This window comes from Homo sapiens, chromosome 4, assembly GCF_000001405.40.
Source record: "Homo sapiens chromosome 4, GRCh38.p14 Primary Assembly".
Classification (NCBI taxonomy): domain Eukaryota; kingdom Metazoa; phylum Chordata; class Mammalia; order Primates; family Hominidae; genus Homo; species Homo sapiens.
In genome coordinates this window covers 101,214,554-101,242,110 of record NC_000004.12, presented here as the reverse complement: position 1 = coordinate 101,242,110, position 27,557 = coordinate 101,214,554, and the positions used below count along the sequence as shown (strand labels likewise).

General features: G+C 33.5%; 1 protein-coding gene and 1 non-coding gene across 4 annotated transcripts in view; both read left to right on the top strand.

Annotated features, from left to right (window-relative positions):
* Positions 1–27,557, top strand: part of PPP3CA (protein phosphatase 3 catalytic subunit alpha) — a 324,109-nt gene that overhangs the window by 105,416 nt on the left and 191,136 nt on the right. The gene's annotated exons all lie outside the window — the stretch shown is intronic.
* On the top strand, positions 1,239–1,316 carry MIR8066 (microRNA 8066). Its single transcript, NR_107033.1, has one exon. It is a non-coding gene; the product is annotated as a microRNA 8066 (primary transcript).

The following is a 27,557-nucleotide window of genomic DNA, read 5'->3' as shown; positions in this document are numbered from 1 at the left end:
ACACAAAACAAGATGCTCAATTACAAGTATATTTGGGGAACAGAGAAGGAAGTATTTTGAAGGCAGAAGAGTGAAACAGGTTATGTAATTGATAAGATGCCATAAAACTGATATCTTATAGTTCCAGAATATTAAAAGAATTATGACTGTGTAGCACAGTACAGTTAACAACAATCCTGAATTGATTTTACCTGAAAATACTATTTTGGTCATGTACTGTAACATTTGTACAGATACACTTAGCAATTTGACTAAGTGTACATGTATTAATGAATTCATTTTTAGTTTAAAAGCATGGTCACTGGAATCAGATTTTCTAGCTTTGAGTTGAGACTGTGTGATTTTTGGTATATTATCTAGCCCTGTATTTTAGTTTAAGTAATTTAAATGAAGTAAAAAAATAAAGCAAATAAAGATTTACAGGTGAAATAGATTCTAATAATACATTCTATCTCAGGAAGGTATTGTCAGGTTAATATTTCTAGTCTTTAAAACAGGACCTGGAAAATAGTAAGCATTGGATTAATATTGGCTATTGTTATAGACAACTAAATATTCTACAATATGACATTAATATAAATATAAAATAAAATGATTGGAATAATTTGATTTCAGGTTTAGAAATTATTTTAAAATATTCTTTCTTTTATTCAACAAATATTTGTTGAGCGCTTTCTTTTTTCGTTAGAGTTAGCAACATTAATATCACCTGTAATTTGTGTTATCTTTGATCTTTATAGTGCTCTAACATTTACAAAGGCCTTCCACATATTATCTTAGGTGGCTTTCCTGTCAAAACTATGAAGCAGCTAGGAAAAATGATATTGCTGGTTTATAGATGAAGCACCTTTCCATAGGAGTGCAAAGGTTTACCTCATTGCAAGAATGAAAGCCTAGGTCACTTCTCTTTTCACTGTACCATACCATCTCCTCTTATGTATCTTGGCCAGGCATGTTGGCTTATGCTTGTAATCCCAGAACTTTAGGAGGCTGAAGCAGGAGGATTGCTTGAGTCCAGGAGTTTGAGACCTTCCTGGGCAACATAGGGAGACGCTGTCTCTACAAAAAATTAAAAATTAGCCAGCTGTGGTAGTGCGCACCTGTTCCTAGCCACTTAGGAGGCTGAGGTGGGAGGATTGCTTAAGCCTGGGAGGTCAAGGTTGCAGCCTGGATGACAGAGCAAGACTGTCTCAAAAATAAAAAAGAAAAATAGAAAAAGAAAAGAAGAAGAAGAAAATCATCTTGCTTACATTCCTGTGGAACATATTGTTGCCTCTGCATGTTACAATGTGATCTTTTGGATGTAGGGCAAATCTGTGTTGACTTGGAGTCTTCTAAGGTTGGATCACAGTAATTCCATCCTTATTATTTTTTTAAATTTTTAGAAAGATTTTCTGAATATTAGCAAATTTTGTGTATTTTAAAATTGAAAGTATTTGATTTATTGAGAAAACATTTAAATTCTGATGTGTCTTTTTATTCTTTTGTGTCTGTCTTACCCAAATCCTGCTTTCTCTTTTTATTTTTTCCTGTTTGCGTATCTGATTTCCCAGCCTCCCACATTGTAGATTCCAAGACCAACCTGGTTATTTTTCTTTAAACACAAACAGAAATCTTAATAAAGGGTGGGGGGAACAAAACTGCCCATCAGACATGTAATGGGTTTCTCTAATATACCTGAATGAATTGATTACTCTAGCAGCTCACTCAGTGGAATAAAAAGTGAAAGGCACTCGTCATGTAGTTGTAAATTTATTCATTGCAAAGAGCCTCCATTAATTTTATGTAATTTGGTACTTCCCAGTAGTTGCTACTGGAGTGGTTTTGTGTAATGATGTCCTCTGGAGGAACTCTATTGCATATATAAATTTTAAAGGGCGAAAAGATCCTCAGAGAACTCACAATCTTAACTGTTGTTTTGTTCCTGTGTGTACTCTCACTTTTAGAAATGCGTTCATCTGCTGTATTTCTGAACCTAAGTATGTGCAGAACTATAGCAATAAAATTATGTACAAACCAGTTGATCTTGTGTTCCAGTAACTATCTACCTCACCTCCCCCCCGCTCCCCCCAAAAAAAAACCAAAAAAATTAAAAACTAGTCACTGTAGGCTCTTTTTATTTTAAACCCCCTTAATCAAATGATGCTAGATTATATTTGCTTAAGATCTGCCTGATGTCAGTGTACAGTAAAATGTGTTTTACTGTACCCTTGGTGCACTACATTTTAACTGTTGTTGTATCTAAAGAGTGAGATGCCTTTTCATGCCTATGGAATCCCTGATGTAATTGAGAACCTAAAGGAGTAATGACTTTGATGAGGCAGTTTTAGCCAGTGCTGAGCTCTCAACTTTTATTACTGAATATCAATTTTGTATACAAGGCCCATGGCAGTCTTAATATGCCTTCATATTTTATCTTGGGTGTGACTGGAGAACAGTTGGGAAAGCAGAGGTAAACCATTAAAATGATGACCATTTTTAGCATTTTTACTGTCTACTTGTGAGTTTGTATTTAGCTATTTTCATATTTACCATCTACTTGCTTTTGTGTGGGTGTGTGTGGATTCTTCTTGCTTCCAAATTGTGATAACTAAATTTCCTAATTGTCCTTAGGTCTTGTCCTATACTTAAGTGGAATTGTTTTCTTCTGGAATTCTCTTTCTTCTGTTGGTAGACAGAATTTCAAAATTCAGTTTCTTGTTTGTTGGCATGTTTGTTTGCTTTCAATTAGACAATTCGATTTTGAGATAACTTTACTGAGAAAGCAAAAGGGAGTAATCAACAGTGACATCAAACTGTTTTAGTGCTTTTGGAATAAGATTAAACCAAATGTTTAAATTTTGTTGAAAAGCAGAATTTAGTGAGACTGTGCCTTTTTAAGAAAATTACTTATTTGCTTCTGAGAAGGGTGAGATGTTTAAATTTGCATTTGATAAAGTAAAAGGGAAGACAGAACACTCTAAGTTACATATTAGCCTCTTTACTACTATTGGCAAAAATAAGTTTTGTTTAAAGTTCTGCCTGTGGGGCTCAGCAGCCCCTCACAATCTGTTTCCTGCCCTTCAGTAAACTTTCTCTGAATGACAGTGTTTGTAGATGGAGGAAATTAATTTAATTGTCAGCAATAGATGTGTGTATTTGTTATACTTGGTAGTACTGGAAAATGGGAGGATGGTTACATTAGATTTTTGATCCTAAAAATAATTATGAGTCATCAAAGTGCCAGTAAAGCAATAATTGTGTAAGACATTCAAAACGTCTTAGGTCAGAGAAAGAATTAAGTCTCTGAGAAGGCTAGTTGAAGGGTAGGTGATAGGACTTATTTGAAAACATAATTCTGGTTTCTCTTTTTACATCCATTAGAATTGAAGCGCTTCCCACCAAAACGATTAAGATCTAGCTTGTGGCCTGAGATAAATATTGATTCTTGAAGTAGAAAAACGATGATTTTTGAATCCCATCTCTTTAAGATATGCACTTTTAAGACTTCAAATGGCCCTAGGGGATTTTAGTACTTTGTATGGAGGAAAATAAGCTTGAATGTCTTTTCCACACCTCCTTTTTTAGTATTTTCTTTTTGATCTTTAAGCTAAAACTTTTTTTCATCTATTCCATTTTTTTAATCAGCTTTGTATGATGAAGATAATGTTATTCTAAAGAATTCATAAACTGCTTTTTATATTTAAATTCTTATATTAATTGTAAAAAAACCTGTTATTTCTTAAATTAAAAATAATCTTCTTGAGATTTCTATAGAACTATTGTCAGCTTTTAATAGATTTATGGTCTCAGAGTGAAGGACAAGGTATTAAATCAATTAAGATAATAATTATATTTTGTTCGATAATATCAAATAATATAGTGACATATAGTGATATGACTTTTTAAGCATATTTGTGCATCTTTATAATCAATTTTACTGTTGTCTTATGCTTTGAAAATGTATTTTTCTTTAAAAAGAAGGTTTGTCTGGATCTGGTGGCCATATCACACTCATTTATTCTACAAGCGTTTGTTGTTGCCGAGAAACAGAATGTAAGATTTGTGTGCAGTAGGTTTATTGGAGAGCACTCCCAGGACCAACACCTGTGGGCCTAAAGAGAGTTGGAAAGAGGGAGTTGAACTTTGATGCGGTAGGAATAGAGATGTGAGTCAGCCCTATGGTGAGCTCTGGAGCTGGGATGGCTTTTGAGTTTGGTCTTTACAGTCTTGCATTTACCAGGGAAATAGTGCAACCCTGAGTGGCACAGCTGTGAGTAGTCAGCAGCTAATACTCCTAAAAGTCAAGGGAAGGATATCCTTGATTCTGAAGGGGAATCCTGACTAGGGGATCTGGCCAGTGCCCCACAGCATCTGCTGCAGTTGCCCCCCAAGTATCAGACTTTGCTGGGGACACCATGCTAAACAAAATCAGATATGCTCTGTTCGTTCAAGAAGTTTACATCTAGTGATGAAGATATATTGTTCAAAATTACACGAATTAAAGCAAGCTTGTGGTTGTAATAGATGCTAGTGCATGATATTATGAAAGCCAGTAGAGTAAGAAGCTAAAGAGCAATTATGAAGCTATAGGTAAAATACTTAAAAATACATATATTGCTGGTAGTCAACCAAATCTTTATGCAAGTTTGTTACTGGTTTGCCTTCTCTAATATAAGTTGATCGTGTATAATATTTTTCATGCTACTTTGTGTGGACATTGTTTTAGCTACTCAATAACTGAAATGCCTATTAATACTCAACTCACCACTCCCTGGAATACTGGATAAATCTAATTTAGATGATTCAGCGGACACAACGATAATGTTATATTTACCTACTCACTTGGAAGAGTGTTACTGTATACACATTAGACCTGATTATTTGAGAAATCACAATTGCAGCTATGATATTTTCTGCTGAACTTTGACGTTGCAGGAGAAATTGTATTTTCTAAATAATAGAAAATAATAGATAATAGAAAAAAGAGAGCTAATAAAGGAAGGCTTCTCAGGCTGAATTTCAATCATAGTTAAAATAACAATACTATATCTGATTTTAATGATCTAGTTGCCAAGTGCTTTATATGAATTATTTTATTTAATTCTTATTAGCCTGTGATTATAAAAACATTACACAGATTATGTAATTTAATCTTCATAATATCTCTATGAGATAAATGCTCTATTATCGCCATTTTACAGATGAAGATACTAAATCTAGAGTCTTCATATAACTAGTAGGCAGAAAAACCAAGACTTAAGGCATCTTATTTGGGATTCAAAGAATACTGTTGAAATTGCCCATTCTCCCTGCCAACTAGTCTTCAATCTGTGTCACTTAAGACTTCTGGACATTCCTACTCCAGAAATTTTCTTAGCAAAATATTATGTTTATTTAAAACAATGAGTAGGTAGTGGAAAAATCAAGGATTACTTAAAACATAAATGTTCAACAATTCAGAGGCAAATAAACAACTTTAAAAAGTGCTTCCCTGCCTTCTATAGATGATGAAAGTTAATTAATAGATCAAGGCAAAGGACTGGCCATTACTCCCATTCTTGCCCCTTGCTCTCATTGTCCACACAGCATAGAGAGAGATAATTTTGTTGAATTTTACTAGTTCGCTACCTACATCCTTTCATGGCTTCCCATTGTACTTCAATATATATTCTTTAGTTTGGTGCCTAGCACTCCAACCACAGATGGTGTCCTCACCAACTTTGTTCAAGTTTACATGGTTTCTTTCAGTTCTTCTAAATGCTAAGCTCTTTCCCACCTCAGGCCTTTGCATTTGCTGTTTTCTGTGCCTAGAATGTGCTTTCTTCTGCTTTTCACATGACTATGTTTTTCTCATCCTTCAGATCTTGACCAAAATGTTACTTCCTCAGCAGAGCCAGTCCAATATTATCGTACTATTTAAAGTTTGTTTCCCTTTTTACTTTCTGTCTTTGCACCCTGTGTCCTTCATTGCATTTGCTATAATTTGTGATTATTTTATTTTTTCATTTGGTTATTTGTTACGTAGGTTCTTTACAAAGCTACAAATTCTATGAGTACAGGGCTGGTGTCTGTCTTATTCCTTTTCTTTTTTTTTTTCAGAGCTTGGCAGTCAGTGTTTTGTATCAGCTGTGGTAATATAATGGTCTTTCTAGTCCAGCCATGGTGAATTTGACATTTTTACTTGCTTTTTGTTTTTAGGCCCTTTAAATGCAGAACAAAGATTTAAATTTAAATACAGAAAGAATTGTTCATTTTATTGGAAAGTCATATGGGCCCTTATACAGTGCAAAGGGTATATTATCTGTTATGAGTTAATATTCATTTTGGTTGAAAATTTATATATTATCCTCTATAACATCAGTGAGGGAAGCTACACATGAAGTAACTCAGTTTTAGACAGATTGACTGTCAAATAAGTAATGATTATTCCACAAGACAGATATCAATGGCCATAATATGCTATATTAATGAAATACGTTTACTGAGCATCTACTTTATGCCTAGCCACCTTTTAGTTTTTACGGTTATAGAGAAACATAAACAATCTTTCTTCATGGAATTCATAGTCTAATGAGGGGAGAATTATTAATTAGAAATCACTTTTCATTGCAAATTGCTTTACATTCATGTCCGTGCTAACAGTGATACAAATGCACATATTATATATCCATTCTGTGTGTGTGTGTGTGTGTGTGTGAGTGTATGTTTAGGTTCTGATATTGTTTATGCTCATATAGGTCTGGTAGCCCTTTCAGAAGTTTGAATTGACATAAATTGAAGACTAGTTGGCAGGAAGAGTGGGCAACCTCAGTAGTATTCTTTGAATCCCAAATGAGATGCCTTAAAAAGCTATTCTCCTTTAAATTTACTCCTAAGGCAATTCAGGCCCATACCTAAAATGAATTAGATGGATATAGCTTATTGTAAAAAGTGTTTAGTTTCTTAAATTGTGTAAATTGTGCATAATTTGGGCAGTTTAAATTCAGATATATCTTGTCTTAAAAAGTCTTATTTTGAAGTAGTCTCTCAAATAATATCTTCCATGTGTTAATAATTTACATCTTTAAAAAGATACCTATCTGATTCACTCACTAGTAGTGTGTATATATATATGATTGAAATACTTGTAAAGAGTGCCTGTTTGCAATATTTATTGATGTATTACTCTATTGAAATATCTTCACATTTCTTCTAATTGTATTAGCCCTGTCCTTTAATAATTTTAGAATAATATTCAGACTCTTATTAGTTTGTAGTTAGAAAATGAACCAGCAGAGAATGTTTTTTGGGCAAAAAAGCTGTGATTAAGTAAAAGGTAATTATATGATGCTAATATTTATTTTTGTACGTCTTTTACTTTGAGCCTGTAAGTTTCTCACTGCATTAACTGCGAACTGCCTTAACTCATGTTAAAATGGTTGGAGTCTCTTTTAGTTTTATTAATTTGCCAAGCAATTGGTTCCACTTTGTGATAAAAAAATAAAAATTGATGGATACTTTAATTAACCTAAAGCATTTAATAAAAATGACCCGATTTACAAGAAAAAAAAAACATTAAAAAGTGGGGAAAGGACATGAACAGACACTTTTCTAAAGAAGACATACATGTAGCCAACAAGCATATGAAAAAAAGCTCAATATCACTGATCATTAGAGAAATGCAAATCAAAACCACAATGTGGTACCATCTCACACCAGTCAGAATGGCTATTAACTAAAAAGTCAAAAGATGACAGATGCTGGTGAAGTTGTGGAGAAAAGGGAACCCTTATACATTGTTGGTGGGAGTGTAAATTATTTCAGCTATTGTGAAAAGCAGTGAGGCAGTTCCTCAAAGAGGACTACTGTTTGACCCAGCAATCCTATTACTGTATATACCCAAAGGAATAGATATTATTCTACTGTAAAGATATATGCACACATATATGTTCATTGTATCACTACTGAGAACAGGAAAGACATGGAATCAACCTAAATGCTTATCAGTGGCAGATTGGATAAAGAAAATGTACATATACGCCATGGAATACTGTGCAGCCATAAAAAGGAATGAGATCATGACCTTTGCAGGAACATGGATTGTGCTGCAGCCCATTATCTTTAGCAAACTGAAGTGGGAACAGAAAACCAAATACTGCATTTTCTTACTTGTAACTGGGAGCTAAATAATGAAAACACATGGACACAAAGAGGGTAGCAGCAGACAGATGGTGAGAGGAGGGAGAAGATCAGAAAAAAATATCTATTGGGTATGACGCCTCCTACCTGAGTGATGAAACAGTATTAACAAACCCTAGTTTGTGTAGTATGTCAAACCTTCGTGACATGAGTTTACCTATATCACAAACCTGCACATGTACCCCTGCACCTAAAATAAAAGTTAAAAAAAAAAAAAGACCTGTAAATTCCTAGATTAGGACTAAACGTTTTCATTTGAATTAAATATTTAATCATGTTGTTTTATTTTTATTTCATTTTATCTTTTTTTGTGACTTTCAGTATCACACATAGAGGCCAGTTACCTTGATAATAGAAAATGAAAAGTAAACATTATAGGCTGAATTCCTTATAGAAGTGAATTATCAAAACCATTTTAAGGTTTATTTACATTTTCCTTTAAAAATGCGAACAAAATAAACATTATCCTGAACTGCTACAAGAAACCAAATTGTTAAATGCATTTATTCTCTCTTTAAAATGTTAATGACTTAGTTTCACTGTTGTGTAAAGAGTAATTGAAGATCTAAGTTTCAGCTTGCTATGTCAAAGAGCGAGCAGTTGGTTCCATTTGCCCTGGACTTTTGTGGATTTAGCACTAAAAGCCCTGCATCCAGGGAAACTTTCTCCTTAGTCCCAGGTAAAGTGTAAAGTAGGATGGTTGGCCACTCTAATGTCAAGCTGAAAATTCTTCTTACTAGTACACTCTTCCAATCATGTGTCTAGACAGCTATTCTTTGTATCTGTACATTTTCAAATTCTTTCTAATATGAAGTTTTCAGAAATTAATTTGTTTTATACTTTAGGTGTAGTGTCTTATAGTTTTCCTATGAGTTAGGTGGCTTTTCCTTTGAAAATGGTTACAGATTAAAAAACAAAGTAAAGCAAAATCTCATTTGTATAGTTCATATTTAGATAATTAATTTGGGTAGATAGCAGCCTAATATGTAGAAATGAAGAAGTTATTTTAATAAATACTAGTAAATCTGTATGGTGTTTTTCATTTATTACTGATAATTTCTTTTTCTGTTGTTAGAATACCAGAATATAGACCATTAAAAATGGAAAAACATCAGTTTTAAAAATTGACATTTTCAGAATAAAAGAACAAAAAATAATAATAGTATGTTTTTATTTAAGGTCATGAAACTAATTTAAAACTCAAGAGTGTTAGGAAGGAGGTTTTATATAGAAATGGAAATGCAAAGAGATATTCCTTTTTTCTACAAAGCTGATCTGTGGTATGACCATAAGCTAATTGAAAAGAAAGCATGTAAAATTAAACTCATAAGTGTTTGGTTTCCATGTGGTCAGTCATAAGGTATTGAGACCAAAACCTGACTCATGTATGAAGGAACTAAAGGTGGTCAGGTTCAAGGCCTTCCAACTAGAGATAAAGCATTTATTTCTATTGCATATACTCTTGCTGATTTTATTTTGTCTCTTAGCATTGTCACTTTGTGTGAAGTAGCTACAATTTTTTTTTGAAGAAAATAATTCCAACTTTGCCCAGTGGCCAAAAATTATACTTTAACTCCTGACAGACTATATAAAAAAATGTGTGCCTCTGGTCCCAGGAGGAACCAAATGGCTCAGTCAGCACAATTCATCATTACTACTGGCAAAAATAACTCAGCATGCCTGCGCTGCTTGGTGGTGAGTCAGTGGCATCATATTCATATACTGACAGCAATTTTTTTCTTTTTAGGAATTACCCTCTGTATCCTGAGCCAAAACACAGAGCAGTAAGATTAAATTAGGTATCAGTGTTTTAAAGAGCAAAGGCTGATGTTATTTTAAATTATTAATTCATTTTAAAAGGTCAAGTAGGGTTTAGGTGCTGAGGTGATGACAGAGGTCAATTTGATGATGGTCTTGATCTTGGGGAGCTTATATCTTATAGAAAATATGAGATGTACTTAGGTAATATTTTCAGCACAGAATGCTGAGTTACTGGTAATATTCAGTGGGAGTTCACAGGGAGGAATGAGAATGAATACTTATGATTGGGAGGGTTTGTTTTATTTATTCAGCAGTTTGAATACTACTGTGTTTTAATAGGAATTTTTAACAAGGAGATTTAATTGTAGCTCTGACTGATCCAATAGTCCAGCAGAAATTTACTGAACAATCAGAATAAGTGAGATATTTAAATGAATAAGAAATCACTAACATACATTTTGTTTCATAAGTTAGTCATGATCCCATGGAGGGACACAGACAAATATCAAGTATTTGCAGCAAGATATGTGTTATAATGCATTTGTAAAGGATACAATTTCTTTCTTATGGTATATATTTGCCTTAAGCATTTATATGTATTTTTTTCATCAAAGCCTTCTATAGTCACTTTCGTTCAAATTGGAAAATGCCCACCACATTCTCTCATTACAAAAGCTAGTCTTCATTTGTCAAATCAATAAGTCAAATGAGACTTAACTTGAGTAAGAAAAAGTATGACTTCCTTTTTCAGTTTAAATAAACTAACTATACCTCCTTCCCTAGCATCTCATTTCTGATTCCTAATTCTAAGATAAATGGACTCATTGATAAATAGTCTGACTTACAGATAAAATCATGGAGTCTGTTCTCTAGTTAGCGGCCTGATAAACTAAAAACTGCTGCCTTCCCCATTTCTTGCTTTGCTCTTACAGAATTCTCCCCCTAGAGGAAAGCTCTCAGTTGTCTCCAGTTGCTTGGTGCTCAGGAGTTTTTAAGCCCTGGCCAGTGCATCATTGTAAGATTTGTAACCTGGAGAAGATCATTTGTGAAAGAGCAAGTGGAGGTGGGAAAGAAGAGTGGTCAAAAAGAGCATTCTGAAGGAGGTAGTTGTAGGAAAGAGGAGAATTGAAAATCGTGGATCTGGAAATTGATTCCTGTGAAATCATCCATACCCATGTGTACCCTGGAATGACTTTGCATTTTGAAAGTGATTCATGAAAGACAGATTATGAGGTATGAGTAAAATTTTCCTAGATGAGGAGGGAAAAGGAGACAGTTAAATAGTTCAGAGAATACACAGAAAGTCTTGAAACGATTGTGATGTATTCAGGAAAAGTAGAAATCCTCATTGTGTCTTCAGGATAGAGGTATGATGTAGGAGTGGCAGAAGGTGAGACTAGAAAGCAGATTGGGTTCTGTTTGTGAAAATCTTTGCGTGCTATTCTAGTAATATGTAATTTAGACTTTACCTATGCAGGCAGAAGGAAGACACAGTGACCTTTTAGCTCGGAGGTGCTATTACAGGCAGGTAATTTATATGGCAGAGTAAAGGATGGAGTGGGTAAGTTGGGAGATGAGACAGGAAGCAGACACACAGTTGGGAGGCTTTATTCATTTTTTATTTTATTTATTTATTTAGTTTGTTTGTTTATTTATGTATTTATTTATTTGAAACGGGTCTCTCTCTCTGTCACCCAGGCTGAAGAGCGGTGGTGTTATCATGGCTCGCTGCAGCTGTAGATTCATACATTTAAAAATGAACAATATTTTCCTCCACCTCTGAAATTGAGATGCAATTGATGATAAGTTATAAGGTTATTGGTGATTTTTTTTTATTTTAAAGATACAAAAATTAATGATATAAAGTCTGTGAAAAATGTAATTCAAGTAGAGGTGATGTTGGCCCAAAAATTAGGAATTGCAGGTGGGGATGGATAGAATTTTAGAGATATTTGTAAAGAAGAAAAATCTGGTTGACATATTAAAAATTTCTAGACGTATGACTAAATGCTTCTAAATATTAGAACTTAAGGTTTATGAATTATTGAGGCATTTATGATTCTGCTGCAAAATAGATTAAAAAATAATCCAGATCTCATGGAATCACACTGTTGTGAGTTCTGAGACCTTAAACAAAAAACATTTTTTAATAAAGAAGGAACTGTATTTATCTAGCCACCTCTCTTTATGTATCTCAATACTGGTGATAAATGGTTCCAAATATAGTTTTTTCTTCTTTTTAATATCTCTCTCTCTTTTTCCAATCTCTTGGGCATTTTCTTCTATCCTTTCCCAATTTTTTTCGTTACTATCTCACTTTTCTTTTTGCCCTATTTGCCTTAAAAACAACTGCTACTCACAAAGCACTGTCTACCTTTTGATTTCCTCCTTTTCTACCTCTCCCCATTCCTACTGCCCTTTTCACCCTCTCCATTGTGGATGAAACTGGGAATATGTACAGTACAGAAGGGAACAGTTAACTCAACATTTGGCCCAAGGGTTATAGTGGAGACTGACTCCTAAGAGCTCAATTTATACTAATGCTGCCTTTTGATTCATTTTTTTTTTCACCCAATACCATACTGCCAAACTCCCTAGTTGTTTCTTCAAGTCAGGGTTTACTTTTGCAAAGAATAAATAGATCAAAATAGGAAGCAAATACAGTTCTTGAAAAGTACAAGAACTTTTAGAGAGAAGAGGCTATCATAAAATTATACACTTTTGCTAGAATGTTTATCTGATTCTTATATACTTGGTAATTAAATTCTGAAGAATATTCACTTTCTTTGTACAGGGGAATCAGCAGCATCCAGAACCTTGTATAGATAGCTGGCTTCTTAGACCCAGCCTGGAGACTCAAGCTGTCTTAGCTTTGGGGCTGGACAGTTGAAATTCCATTCAAAACCACAAGGCATTTTTCTTTTAATGTAGTTTGGTGTGTGTGTGTGAGTGTAAAATAATGAATAAAAGTTGTATTACACTTGTCGTGTTCAATTTGTCACTTAGGTTGTATTGAATTCTTTTTCGATTGGTCCCTAAAAAATGTTTTGTGTTCTTGTACCACCTGCAGCACCTATTGAAGAGATATAATTTACTTATTAAACTGCTGATCATTTTATTTTACACTGCAGTTATTTGCAAACCCATATAATAATACTGTAGAAACAGCTTATTGTTTTAGTGCTAAGTAGAGTGACAGGAGTTTGCATGCTGGTTGTCCAATCAAAAATGAATTCTCAAAACAGTCCCTCACATTTTATTAATTGGAAAATCAAAACCAGTATCTACTGGGACAGCACCAACTAAACTTTCTGGTGGAGGTTATCTTTGTAGAGTTTGTATTTACTTCCAGATCTTTTCTATTGAAATGGCTCTTTCACAGTCATTTATTTGCCATTGACTGTTGTTCCCTGGCAATTAATTAAGAAGAGGGGGATAGAGTTCACTTCTATTAGGTTCCCTGTCCCTACCCCATTCCAAAGTTAAAATCTTTGATAGTTGGCTGTTTGTGAATTGCAGTACATGCCTCTAATCCACAAAAATTATTTTTTTGGCAGGAAAGAAAAGCCCCTTTTTTATGAAAGATTTTTTTTCCCTAAATATGCATGGAGATATTTTGTTGTGATTTCTCAAGAACTGAATGAGAGTCCCAAATTAAAATAATTTGAAAAAAGAAAATGTAAAATTCCATTTTGCATGGTGCCTTTAATCAAGACTCTAATGTCATTTGTTTGGTTATTAAGTTTCCATGTCTAAGATTGAAATGGTTTATATTTAAATTAAATTATATAAAAATTTATATGCTATGGATGCTATGTGTTCATAATTTTGAATTGTGATTTAATTCTCATAAAACTTCACATATTAGCACCTCAATAATTTTTGCTCAGAAATGCAGAATTATTATAGTTAAATAGCAGAGTCTCTGAAAGTATACTCTGAAAGAGCAGTCTCATGGTGATTTCAAAGAGAGTTCTGTTTAGATGACAATAGAGAATTTATATCATGAAACATTCGTTGAAACATAAGTGTTTTCAATATTTGTTGTCTACTTAGAAAAATGATTTTGCATTTATTTAAATTATTTGTCATATTAGATTTTATGTGCCATAGAACTTAACTTTATTCCATCTTGGGTAGCTTGAATCATTGAAGAGAGAATCCCCTTTAAAAGGCCTGTTCATAGCAAAGACATGAAGTCAACCTAGATCCCCATCACTGGTAGACTGAATAAAGAAAATGTGATAAATAAACACCATGGAATACTATGCAGCCAGGAAAAAAGAATGAGACATGAGCTTTGTAGCAACATGGGTACATGGATGGAGCTGGAGAACATTATCCTAAATGAATTAATGCAGGAACAGAAAACCAAATACTGCATGTTCTCATAAGTGGGAGCTAAACATTGAGTACACATGGACACATAGAAGGGAGCAATGGACACCAGGGCCTACTTGAAGGTGGTGGGGAGGAGGGTGAGGATTGAAAAACTACCTATTGGGTACTGTGCTTATTACCTGGATGACGACATAATCTGTACACCAACCCCCTGCAACATGAATTTATCTGTATAACAAACCTACACATGTACCCCTAAAACAAAAATAAAAGTTTTTTAAAAAAAGAAAAGGCCTGTTGGATGATGAGAGAAGTTCTGTTCACTCTCCTCTAAGCACCACTAGTGTGATTGAAACATGAGGAAGAGAAGTTAAAATTAAATTGAATGGCCTTCTATGTGCCAGGTACATTTCCTTTTCAACTCCTGTAGTATAGAATAAGAAAAAGAGAGTTGATCAACAATTGTACTCCTATATGTGATAATACTACATAATTTAGTATATAAAACAAGAGGGGAGACGTAGCAGATTATGAAGAAAAAGCAGTGGTCAAACAGAAAAGAAAGATTTAGTTGAACTTTAAATTATAATCCAGTGAATTCCTTAGGAAATTGATGAGGATTCATTTTCCTAATCGAAATTTAATTGTGTTGTGTTTTCTGTTTCTCCATACATGTGTTGTCTTTATTAAATGTCATTTATGTGTATGTATGTATGTATGTATGTATGTGTGTATGTACACACCTACCTACCATTACGCTATAGACATCTGTGTTTTCAACATTGAACCTATCAATAGAGCCACATTTGTTTTATTTTTGGAATGCTTATTTAAAGTAGATCATGTTTAATTGCAAAAGAACTATAAACATTTGTACCTGCAGTACTGCGTCGTGTCCATCATATAAAAAAATAATTATCCTGAACCATGGACATGTTTGTGGTTGTAAATCTGTTCTCTTTTCTCTGCTTGAAGTGATAGTGTTTCATGATATCAGTATTCTTCAAGCATTTATATTAGAAGACACCATGAATGCAGAGGTGAATGAATCATGTTCTTACATGAGAGATTTAACTCTGAGAGGCCATTGTAAATAGGATGTCTGTACATTTTGAAGTCTTAGGCTTCATATGAAAAAAAAAGAAATTCCTGTAAGATCTTTGAGTAAAAATGTTACTTGTAAAGGATGTGCCAGGTTTCAAGGACTTCCCAGTAGCCATAGTATGAATACAAGAAACACAGTTGTGCATTTGGAACTTCAATTCAGTTATACCGTGAACTGAATTGATGAATTTACTGAGTTAGAACTTTTTTCGTTTTTTTGACAGCTGTTGAAAGGATCTTTATAGAGACTCCTTCACGTAGCAAAACTTTTTTATGTATCAGTAGTCTGCAGCCTCTGACTTAGACCATTTGTGTTACAAATATGCACTACGTATTGCACAGAAGCCTGGGTTATTGAAACATGTAACCATTTCAATATCAGGAGGTTCTGCATTTTTCCTGTTTTGTCACTTTTAGGAAATTTTGCCAGGTGCTGGATATGACAACAACTAGGGTGGAGAAAGGAAGGAGACAGGTGTGCGCAAGTACCTGTATGTGTGCATGTCTGTAACTGGAAACTAGGGAAGATTGCAAGAAGCCTGGAGTCCTGAATAGTTCACAGATATCACAGATTTAGGTCTTGGCAGAGGTGTTTCAGCACAGATCTGTTCACTAGTGTTAAAGACCTTCCTACTAGGGCCTATATCTATAAGGTTTTTGTCATGTAGAAAGAAGAATAATATTACTTTAATATTAGATTCAAATTTTCAGGGATGTCAGCATTACTATCATGACCATATTGTGTAACAGTTTATTTTCCATAACTATTTTCTATTAAAAGGAAATACAGGTTTTGTCACGCTCATCATGTTTCTTACTCCCCACACTGAAACACAAATGTTCATCTTTATTGAGAAACTGATAACTTGATTGCCTCTGTTTCACATATTGATATTTGCTTTTTAAAGTACATTGACACAAAGTAGCCAGTATTAAATCTACCTGTATCCCAGATGTTTTAGAGAAGAAAAAGGAAAGTCGTTCTTTTCCTATTAGTAGTCATCATATCATTTCTTAAGTATATTTTATGTATACAATACACAAAGACACCTTTACTTTTTCTATTTTAAATTTCTCTTAACTGCCAGAAAATCTCTGTTTACCATTGCTTTTAGAACTATCCTTAAACATAAAATCCTAATTTGCTGTGCCCGTAACTGATACCAGCATTCTGGAACCAATAAATTATTTAAAATCCAAATAACTGTGTATTTCAAAGATACCTAAAGGGACATTTGCAAAATGGTCATTTGAACTATGAATTTTAAATCATCTCTTGGTAACCAAGGCTTGTAAAGAACTATTTATTACTGTTGTTCCAGATCACGAGACTTTTTTTAGGCTTTATTCATTTAATGGTTACATTTCTTAGATTATTAGCTTATTCATTTATTCAACAAATATTTGTTGAGCCCTTTTTAAAGTGTCCGTCATTTTTCTAGTCACTGGTGATACAAAAGTGAGCATATTTAATAAAAATATCTTCATGCTCATGAAGCTTCCATTCTAGTGACAGAAAAAAGATAAATTATAAATCAAATAGTGATTGTATGGGGAAAAGTAAAGCTAGAAAGGAAAAGGAGTTGTGCTGGGAGATGTTCCATTTAAAACAGGGTGGTTAGGGAAAGTCTCAGAACAGTAACTTTTGTAGGAAGACCTAAAGGGGGTGAGGGAGCAGCTGAGTACTTCCATGGGGTTAAGTGTTCTAACCACATCAAATCCCAAATCTCTGAGGCAGGGGTGTGTCTGCTGGGAATTTCGGAGAGGAGAGTTGGGTTGACTGGTGCAGAGTGAAATAGGTGGGAAAGCAGAAGAGGGCAAAAGAGGCATTGTGTGTGGGGAGTGAGGAAGATCATAGAATACCTTGTGAGGGCTTTGGCTTTTCTCTGAAGGAGGTGAGAAACCACTGGACAGCTTTGAGCATTAAGAGTTACTGAAGATGTCTTTGGAAACCCTAACCATGCTTTGTGTAATGAAACTTATTTATAGTATTGGCCAGTTCTTCTGCACCATCCCCCCTGCCCCGATTTCCTTATTTATTCAGAATATTGAATTTCAGAAGACTTTATATTTGTAACACACATACCTCAAATTAGCTACGGCAGGTTTTTCAAAGTCCAGCTTCAGGTGATTTCAAATATACAACAGTGTGTTAGTGTAGGTTTAGGCAGAAACCAGCCTGCTGCTGCTGTCTTTCTCCCTGGAGCGCTAGCAATGACATTTTGAAATGGAAATACAGATGTCATAAAGCTATTGTAGAAGTAATAGCTTTTAAAGGAGATTTTCAGACTAATAAAAATTTCTCACCTCAATTAATAGAAATGATAAGAAATGCAGAGAAGAAGGAGTAAAGGGCCTTGACTGATATTTTCCTGGATTGGAAAGGAGGAGTAGGGGTACAACAGAATGAAAGAAAAAATAATTTTGACCTAAAAAGCCAAAAGCATCTCAAAACCAAGATGCTTAGGAATCCTTTAAAAAATCCAGCTGGTAAAGACATATAATTAGAGTGGCCATATGTCCTGTTTTATTCCCAGGACAGTAACGATTTATGCCTGCTGTCCCAGTGTAATTATTAATAGCACCCCTTTCATTCCTCATAGTGTCCTGGTTTTAATGATAAATTTGTGGTCACCCAACATGAGTCTGTAACTGTGCTTCACACCTTTTATGTTATTAGAAGTCATTTCAATTTTTGGTGTTTTCATAATTTTAGTTTAATTTAGAGTATTAGTGCTAATTAGCCCCAAATTTTGTTTTCCCTTTAATTTTTTTCCCCTCTTGGAATGGTTTTATAGGTTTGTATTTAAAAAAGATTGGAGACTGTTGACTTTTCTGGTACTTCAGAAGAATATACATTTCTTATTTTAAGAGATGTTTATATTGAAGTTTATTTTCTCTATTTTTTGCCTGTTGAATGAGAGATTATTTTAGATTTAAAAATTATATGTGGTTTCCAGAGCGTTGCTGTTATAATGATATTAAGTAATTATACACTGAAGTTATGAAGTTTTCAGTTTTCATTTACGTATTTTATAAAAGCATTAGTTTGGTTTATGGAAGGAGATTGGCGAGAAAAATGTTTCTTTTTAAAGGGAAGGTTGGAATGAATGCTTTCATATGTGTGTCCAGATTTGCTTTGCAAATACAGTATCCCACATTGAAATACCACTGTACTATAAATATTGCTATAACAGTCTTATGGAGATGTAATTGTGGAATCAGGGGAAGAGAACTAAATTAAGAGTCAGGAAACCTTAATTCTCATTTTGTTTTCTTGGTAAGTGGAATGATGATTTTGCCAATATCACTTACCCTGTCTGTGCCTTAGAGGTCTCTGACCTAAACTAAGTCACTGGGCTGTTTGGCAGAGCCAAGGAGTTTAATATGTTTGAAACAATTTTATAAGTTATGATTTCTATCTAAATCTGAGATTGCATTAGGTCTGAGGGAACAAGGAAAGCCCTTTTAAGTGAGATAGTTACATTTCTTTCCTAAGGAAGTTCTGAATCAGTAAGTTAATTACCTCTCTCACCTAGGGAATCAATTAGCTAATTATAAAGAGAGCCAAGGTCAAATTTAAGCCAGTCTTTCCATTAGTCTAGGAAACTACTTAGTTCATTTCTTCATGGGGGAAGTGCAGGAGTTAATGTGAATAGTTTGACAGGTTTGACAGCTTGGGCAAATAGACCTAAGTAGACCTTTCACAATGACTTCTGTAATTTATTGAAAGTAATGTGCATTAATAGACTGTCAGAGATACCCAAATGTCTATCTTTCACATACAAATGATTTTTGGATTAAGTGCACCACTGACCTGCATGATTGGCATGGATAATTAAATTTTAACTTGTGTCTTTGCAGCTAATCTAGCTCTTGATAACTGTGTTTCAGTGTAGGACATAGCTTTCATCAGATATACTGGAGCAAAAATGAATATGTTTACATAGGCTAAAGCATATTCCTTTTTAATGAAAGTTCGTTCATATTTGTATTTATTGATTAAGAGTAGATCCTCATACTATCCTTGTACGATTGGCCTATCTTTGATGTAAATGATATTTTTATGAAACACATTTTCATCAGTGCAATGAATCATCCATTCCTGGATACCTGCCAATAGATAGTTATGACCTTGGAATAAAATAACAATTGGGAAAAATAATCAGATTTCCATATGTAATGTTGGGCAATTTAAAAAATATAAGGTGTACCCTTCCTCTAGTACACTTAAACACACAGAATTGAAAGAAAAATGAAGTTAATCTTTTGTGTATTATTGTATTTATGGACTGGAAAAAAACAATGGCTAAAAAGAACAATTATGGCATACCATTGTTATTGAATGTATTTTTAATGTGTATTTGAGGTGGAGTTGAGGGTGGAAAGTTTTACAAACTGAGATATCTGATTCTGTGGGGAAATGAATTGCGTCCACTTATATTATCATGTGGTTCTCACATATATATTTGAAATTAAATGACTTTCTCTCCTAACTAAAGGAAAAGAACAATGTGTTTGTCATAAGGGCAAAACTGTTAACTTCATAAAATTCCTAAAATAATATATATGAACAAAGCAGTGATTTTTCCAGTGGTCTTAAAAAGCTTGATAAATGATTGCAATGATTTAAAGTATTTTTAGAATGCATTTATAATCTGGGTTTCAAATTTAAATACAAGTTATTTTATATTTATGAGAAGTAATAAGAAAAATTCAATAGATCGTTAAAGAAAACAAAAACAAGTTAAATATTTGTTAGATATCTCTTACTGATTTGATATCTCCTATTTTTAAGTGTGTTTGGGTAATATTAAGAATGCAATCTATAAGAAAGAACACGTGTGAACTTTCAGTTATCTCAGCTACCAGATAGCGAATAAGCCATACATTTCTTTTAGAGGGAAGAGTATTTTGTTTCTTGAAACAGAAAAGTTACTAAATGATGCTGTTATATATTATTTTTGTACAATAAGTATGTTTTGGAGTTGTAAATATGATTATATATATGCAGTCATCCTTAAGATTGACATTCACGAACCATGAATATGCCTTACATTTCTGTGTGCCCATTGCTGGTGTTGGACTTGAATTTTTTATGTGGTTTTTCAATAAAGTAGTCTGTTTAGAATAATTTCTTCTTATATATTCTTTTTTATTTTGTTTTGTTTTGTTTTTTAGCGAAGTGAATGGAATTCTCAGAATTCCAGTTGGGAATTGTGGTTGTTTTTAAATTCTTGCATCTGTGAAGGGAAGCCAACTAGAATGCTGTTTACTTCTCAAAATATGCGTTTTATTTTAAACAAACTTTTAAGTGATATGACCTAGAATATGTCAGATCTGACAGAGTTAGAAACATTTGAAATAGATGTAAAATATCATTTTACTAAGCAATTCATAGGGATAGACTTACTTATTTCTGTACATAGCACTACAGAGGCAACTATATATTTCATATAATTCCATGTGAGTCCCTTGGAAGAGGCACTATAGCGTGGCTGCTTTTTTATGGCCGTCTGTTACTCTTTCTATCACAAAATTTAACACTTTACACAATGTACACTTGGAATTAGTTCTTCCTACCACTTGGTAACTAATGAAAAGTATATGTGAAACTTAGAATCTATGGAAGCAAGTCATTTCATAGGAGGAATTTGGAAGTCTTTCTCTTACCAAATTATAATATGAATGATTTTTGCTTAGAATTGTTCAACTCTACTTTGACATAATTTTTGATAATAAAAATTCTATTCACTGGAATTTCTGTTAAAATACTCATGTAAAGTGGCTAGAAACAGAATAGTTGGACTTTCTCATGATTTAATTCAAATAGGACAATCTGTTTCAATAAAACTACAAGAGGAATTTAAGGCAAAGGTGCTCATTTGGGCTTAGCTTAAATTTTTATAATGCAAACTTGGAGGCAAAACTGTGACTGGCACACCTGCCATAATTTAATGTGAATGAATAAACCTTTGTGTGTGACTGTGTGTGTATGTCAGTTATTGATAGAGAATGTGTAAGAGAGCTGTTTGATAACAGACACTGTCCTCAGGTGAATCAGGAAATTGGGGAAGTAAAATAACCAATTGTTTCATTTGCATGTAACAGATAGGAAGAATAATTAAGAAAAACAAACAAACAAAAAACACCTGTTTGCCTAGTGTCAGTTGCACCCAGATAAGTTTATTTTTCTTTCAGCATCAGAAAAGCTAGATCTTTTTATTAAAATCCATTTATCTCTAGCTGAGATGCATCAGTGATTCTGTTAAATAAAATTTAGTGTTAATACTGTTATTTGAGAGACATTTTAGTTTGATTATAAAGAGATAGATTCAAATAGAACTAAAAATGGTTTTGGTAAAAAAGGAACAGGTTAATTTTTTCCCTTCTCATTTGACCATTATTTTAGCTATTAAGTAAAGTAAACAAATAAAAAAAAAAACGTGCTGTCAAGTAATTCTGAAAAAGAAAGCTTTGGGTATCCATAGAATTATTTTAAGAAAGTGTTCCCTGACCTTGTCTCAAAGGATTTGAAAAATGTGAACATCTTTTATAAAAAGTAGGCCACTAAATCTGATTTCCTTTATATGAAAATATTCGTATGTATTGTAACAACTATATAAGTGGCAGTTAAATATGTTTTCTTCCTAAGTGTGATCATCTGTTTTACACTTAATTGAAGCAAAGTTCTTCCAGTTTTCTGATTATAATGATGACATGGCGTGCAAGAAACCAGAGCGTGTTAATCAAACCTTATGATTAAGTACTTAACTTCATGGAAAATGATCATTATGGACGTTCAGTAACATTTATTTGGCCAAATTACATGTAAAGTTAGTTCCATTCTTAATACTATAAAGCTATGCATTTGTGTATCTCATTATTGAAGGAAATTTAGAAATCTTTTGAGTTTGAATTCCCTCATTTCATTTTGCAATTTAAACAATACTTTTAGAAAATCAGTCTGCATTGTTACATGGAATATAATTTGTCAACCAGCCTCTCCCAAGATGACAGTACTGAAGACTGTAATGTGTTTCAAAATATTCATTTTATTCTAGGTGTTGACTACTTTTAGGATTGCCTTAATTAAAAAAAATAGAGCTTCTAGGAATAAAAGTTTTATTGTTCACCATGGATGGTTGAGAATAATATAATTTAATACCTCATTTGAAATAAATTACAAGTGACATTTTCTTGTAGGCTTTTCTACTGAAAGCTAGGTGAAACAGAATATGTACTTAGTTTAATGGTGAGATTTTATCAAAATCTAGTTATTTTTAAAGAGATTAATTCTCTTCTGTCTTTGCCTCCATGCTAGTTTTTAATATTATTCACAAGATGTGATTCAGAAGCTGTCTCATGAAAATAATATACTAGAGCTTTACTTTTAATTGTACTTCTGTGTATCTGCAATGTTCATTATACTCTAGAATACTTCGTGAAGGGAGAATAGATTTTATTAAATTGTGAAGCATGCAATCTGTTAACTATTAAGTAGAAGAATAATCTGGATTATACATAGTATACTTTCCAGATGCAGTGATGAAATAGGAAACTTTGAAGCACAAGACCATAAAATTGTAGCATATCAGACTTTGACAATAAAGCCCCAGTCACACCCTTCCATTTTCCCCCATTGTATGCCCTGCTGCAAAGTAAGATTTTAACTTTGATTTCATAACACCTAGCTCAGTGTCTTGACACATAATAGGCACTTTAACAAAAGCTTTTTAGTGAATGAACAAACTCAAATCTTTAGCAGGTGTTTTCAAAGGGACAATGCGTTTATTTGTGCTGGGAAGAAGTATGTGGATAGCCAGTAAAAACTATGGAGTACAAATAGTGGTAGAGAATATTCTTGTATTTTTCACTTGTGTCTGCTTTAAGACTTTTGAAAATGTGTATTTCTGTACATTTCAGCACTTAAAACTTGCCACTTTTTCTTGCATACCCATTTACTTCATTTTAGGTCTCTATTCTTTTTTTTCTCAGAGAGTAGTTTGCTTTACAGTTTATCCCACCACTGAAATATTATTTGAGTTCCTATCTTATCGGGATGTTGGATGAACTATATTTTCCGTTATTATACATAATTTTTTTCCTTTGTTTTTTCTAAATGAATTGTTTCTGGAAAGGAATTTAAACTGTGAGTAATTATTATTCAGCTTTCCTAGTGTTTGTGAAAACAGAAGTTGACCTCATATGGTGAGAGCTATGGGAAAACTTGGGTGTAACAACAACAAAAATTAAGCAAAGGGAAAAAAAATCCACAGTAAGGGCAGGAGAGTATGTTTCAATCCTTTAACATTTTAACTCTGAAAACCAGTTATTTAATGCTAAAATTCAGTTTTTAACGGGTTTTTAATGGGAGTTTTTAATATTAGCTGAATAGTATTTGATAGTAAAGACCAATTATCTTTTGATTTAACTCAGGATTTGCTGAGGTTAAATCTTATTATTTGGGAAAGGGGCATTATTCCCTCTTCCATTATTATTGAGGAGGAAAACTAGTGTATTCTTCATAGCTCCATTTAATAACTCTCTCTTCCTCTCTTTTATCTTTCAGCTTTCCCTTCACACTCATTCTTTGACAGTTTCTCCTCTTTTCTCTGTTTATTCTTCCATCAAGTTTATTAAGACCCTGTTCCTTGCTGGGCTCTTCCAAGACAGGTAGTTCATCCTCAAGTTCCAAAAAATGAAGATGAGTAATAAGACTATTTCATTTCTTTCCTTTTCCAACCTTGACAAACAAGTCTTTTATTATGATATGTGTCCCTTGAGCGTCACTCGGGGCCTCTGTCTGGCCTGTGTCTACCCCATGCAGGAATGTAGAAAAGGTCCACAGTTTGACTCATTTTTGGGGATAAGGATTTCAGGCCCTCAGTTTCTGCCTCATCCAGACACTTGTGCAGTAGTCACACTGTACAACCGACTGCACTGGACCTTGTCTTAGGCTGATTCGTGATTTAAATATGTTCCCCTAAACCTGTAGATTTGGGGATGTATCTGGGATTTGTGCAACAGAAGAAATGGCTATATATGAGAGATAAATATGTGAAGCCCCTGAATAGCTTTTGAAAACGCAAAGCGATTTGAAGATTACTGTCACTGTTGGCTCATTTTAGCAATAAGGAAACTGAGCTATTGAGAAGTGAAGTGAAATGCCCACACCTATGTAGTCGGTGAGTGGCAGATCCTTGACTGATTCTCTCTGCTAACTTGAGGGCCAGTAAACACTACACTGTAGTGTTTCAACTCACTCAACATGTAAACAGAATTAGATTTCATAGTCTAAATATTGAATATGTTTCTGAAAGTTATTTTAGAATACTAGTTTTGTTTAATAGATTAGGTAGTTTAGAAGAGAATAGTGTGAACAGTTGAAACCAAATATACCTGAGTGTGCATCCAAACTCTGCTACTTAATAGTAGAGTGAACCTGAACAGGTTATTTAACCTCTTTTTCTTAATCTGTCAAACAGGAACAATAAACACTTATTTTACATGGTTGTGGTGGAGTCAGGCCCCAAATCCACATATTCAGAACTATTGATACCAGAGTAAAGTGCTCCAGGGATAAATGAAATCCACAGACAATGTCCAGCCTCAGTTTATCTGCTACTGTGGCTCATTTCTTCAACAAATTTTAGAAGTTTCTAAGAGCTAGCACCATTGAGTTGATTGATGCTCCTAAAGAGCATCTTTTACTTACGTAATTTTTTGAACATTTTTATTTTCACCGATCATTGAATTGTGATATTCATATTTGAACGTGACTTTAGGAAGGAAATGTTTTTAGTAGCTTCTTTGTCAAAATGGTTTCTGATATGATTTGCCATAAATATATGTGGTGATTTTATTTAACTGTAAGAAGTAGGTTATGGGGCTGGCCAGGTATGGTGGCTCACGCCTGTAATCTGAGTATTTTGGGAGGCCCAGGTGGACTGATTGCGAGAGCCCAGGAGTTTAAGATCAGCCTGGGCAACATTGTGAAGCCTCATCTCTACTAAAATAAATAAATGAATAAATAAAAAATAAATGGATCTGGTGGTGTGCACCTATAGTCCCAGCTACTCAGGAGGCTGAGGTGGGAGGATCACCTGCACTGGGGAGGTCAAGGCTGCAGTGAAATGAGATTGCGCTGCTGAATTCAGCCTGGGCAACAGAGCGACACCCTGTCTTAAGAAAAGAAAAAAAAATAAAGGAAAGTTTTATAATCTACAGGCCATTTTTGTAGCAATTGAGCAGTTCTACAAAGTGGTTTTGAAGGACTCACATGTTTTTGGAATATAGCACCAAAATCTCGTGATCTGCTGGTGAAATATAATTCATAACACCATGATTGGGAACAGTAAAGAAAATACAGGATTCAAAAGTGTATAATTATGGTCATTTGTTATCACCACTAGTTCCTTAATCTGAGACAGTGTCATTTATTATGCAAATGAGAAGGAAATTATGTAATTTAAGTTTATTTGAGGACCATGTTACTATTTTCCCTTACAGGGTACAACGTTTAAATAATATTTTTCAATGAGAAATCATTTATAATGCTGCGTAATTTATTGATTATGAAATATCTTTCCTTTGCATTCATATGTAGGTCAGCCAAAAAAATTCATCTCAAAAAGCACCGTAATTTTTAGATTCTTCTATTAGATATTAAATCTTGGAATAAACATTTAAGATTTAGGGACTTTCTCTTTTAATTAAGCGAGATAGTTGTTTAATACAAGATGTTCCAAATTTGGTAATGATGCAGTCTGTCATCTACTGAATATGTCTTCTCTTCACTCCTTAGTGCTTTTGTTGAGCTTTGGTGATACAACTTTAATTTTAAACTGATCACATTGTTTCTAAATCTTTGCTAGATGGCGTTCATCTTTATACTATATGGAAAAATATGTCACATTGAAAATAGATTAGTAGTGTTTTAAAATAAATTTACAATTATATCAGCAATATATTTGTTCTGGAGCCATTTGCATTAGCTTTATTAAATTAGAAATTTTTTAAATGCTTACATGATGAAAACAACTGAAGGTTAGTTTTATTTAGTTAGAAGGGACATTAGGATTAGAATGGTCACCAAGTCCTTGTCTCTGGTACACATAATTGAACTTTCTTTCCCCTTCATTTAGTTTTTTTCTGTACCAAAGGAAGGAAAATGCTTTCACTGTAACAAATTAAGAGTAAATTATATTTTGCTTACTTGGTAACTGGATTGTTAATAGATAATTAAGTTGAAGAGAAAAAAATAGAAAACTTTCGCTTGATTCCTTTTCTAATATTAGAAATGAGGAATTGGGAAGAAATCGATAATAATGCATGTAATTAAAGCATTCTGTGTTTTGGTAAAAACCTGATTTAGTTACATCCAAATATTAGAGAAGTCTATTTATATTCTCTGATATTTTGCTTAATGCCTTTGGCTAGCTGAATAGTTTTTGTTTTAATTTCATGGCAATTTGCATTTATTTTTAAAACTTTGAAAACAGATTTCTCTTTTTGGCTTCAACGCACATACTACATTTGGTAAATGTAATATATAACACTGTGAATTATTATTTATATTAATTATAAATATTATTGTAAATATTGCATTTGGTAGAAATGAATTTCCCTCAAGGTACACTCAATTCAGAGAATATATACCAGACAAAATCTCAGGAAAGGACATGAGAGTTTTCTTAACAAAGAGGTACATTGTTATGCTGTTACACCTTAAGGATGAAAATGTTTGATTATTGCTATTAGAGTGAATAGTGTTTCCCTAACATTCTTCTCTTACATTTTGGCTAAAGAATTATATTAATTTAAATGAAAATGAGGTAAATGTCTAGGAGGAAAATTGACCTCGCTAATTATAGGCATGTGCTTAATCAGTGTCAGTGATTGTGGATTTCTATGTAGTCAGAGCTTATCAAAATAAGACTTTCATAACAAAATTTGGCCCTTTGCCTTTGATCACTGATTATTTCAGTGAGATCTCCCAGGTGATTTTGGTGGCTAGTTACATCATTAAATCTATATGAATGACTCCTTAGAACACATTGGCTTGAAAAGGGGAGCTTTTACAGATTATCCTGCTGTGGGAGGAGTTAGTTTCATTATTGAGTTTTGAGTTTCATCTAATAGGTAGAAATTGAACTTGCTCCCTGGAGACAATGATCAGTGCAGAAAGC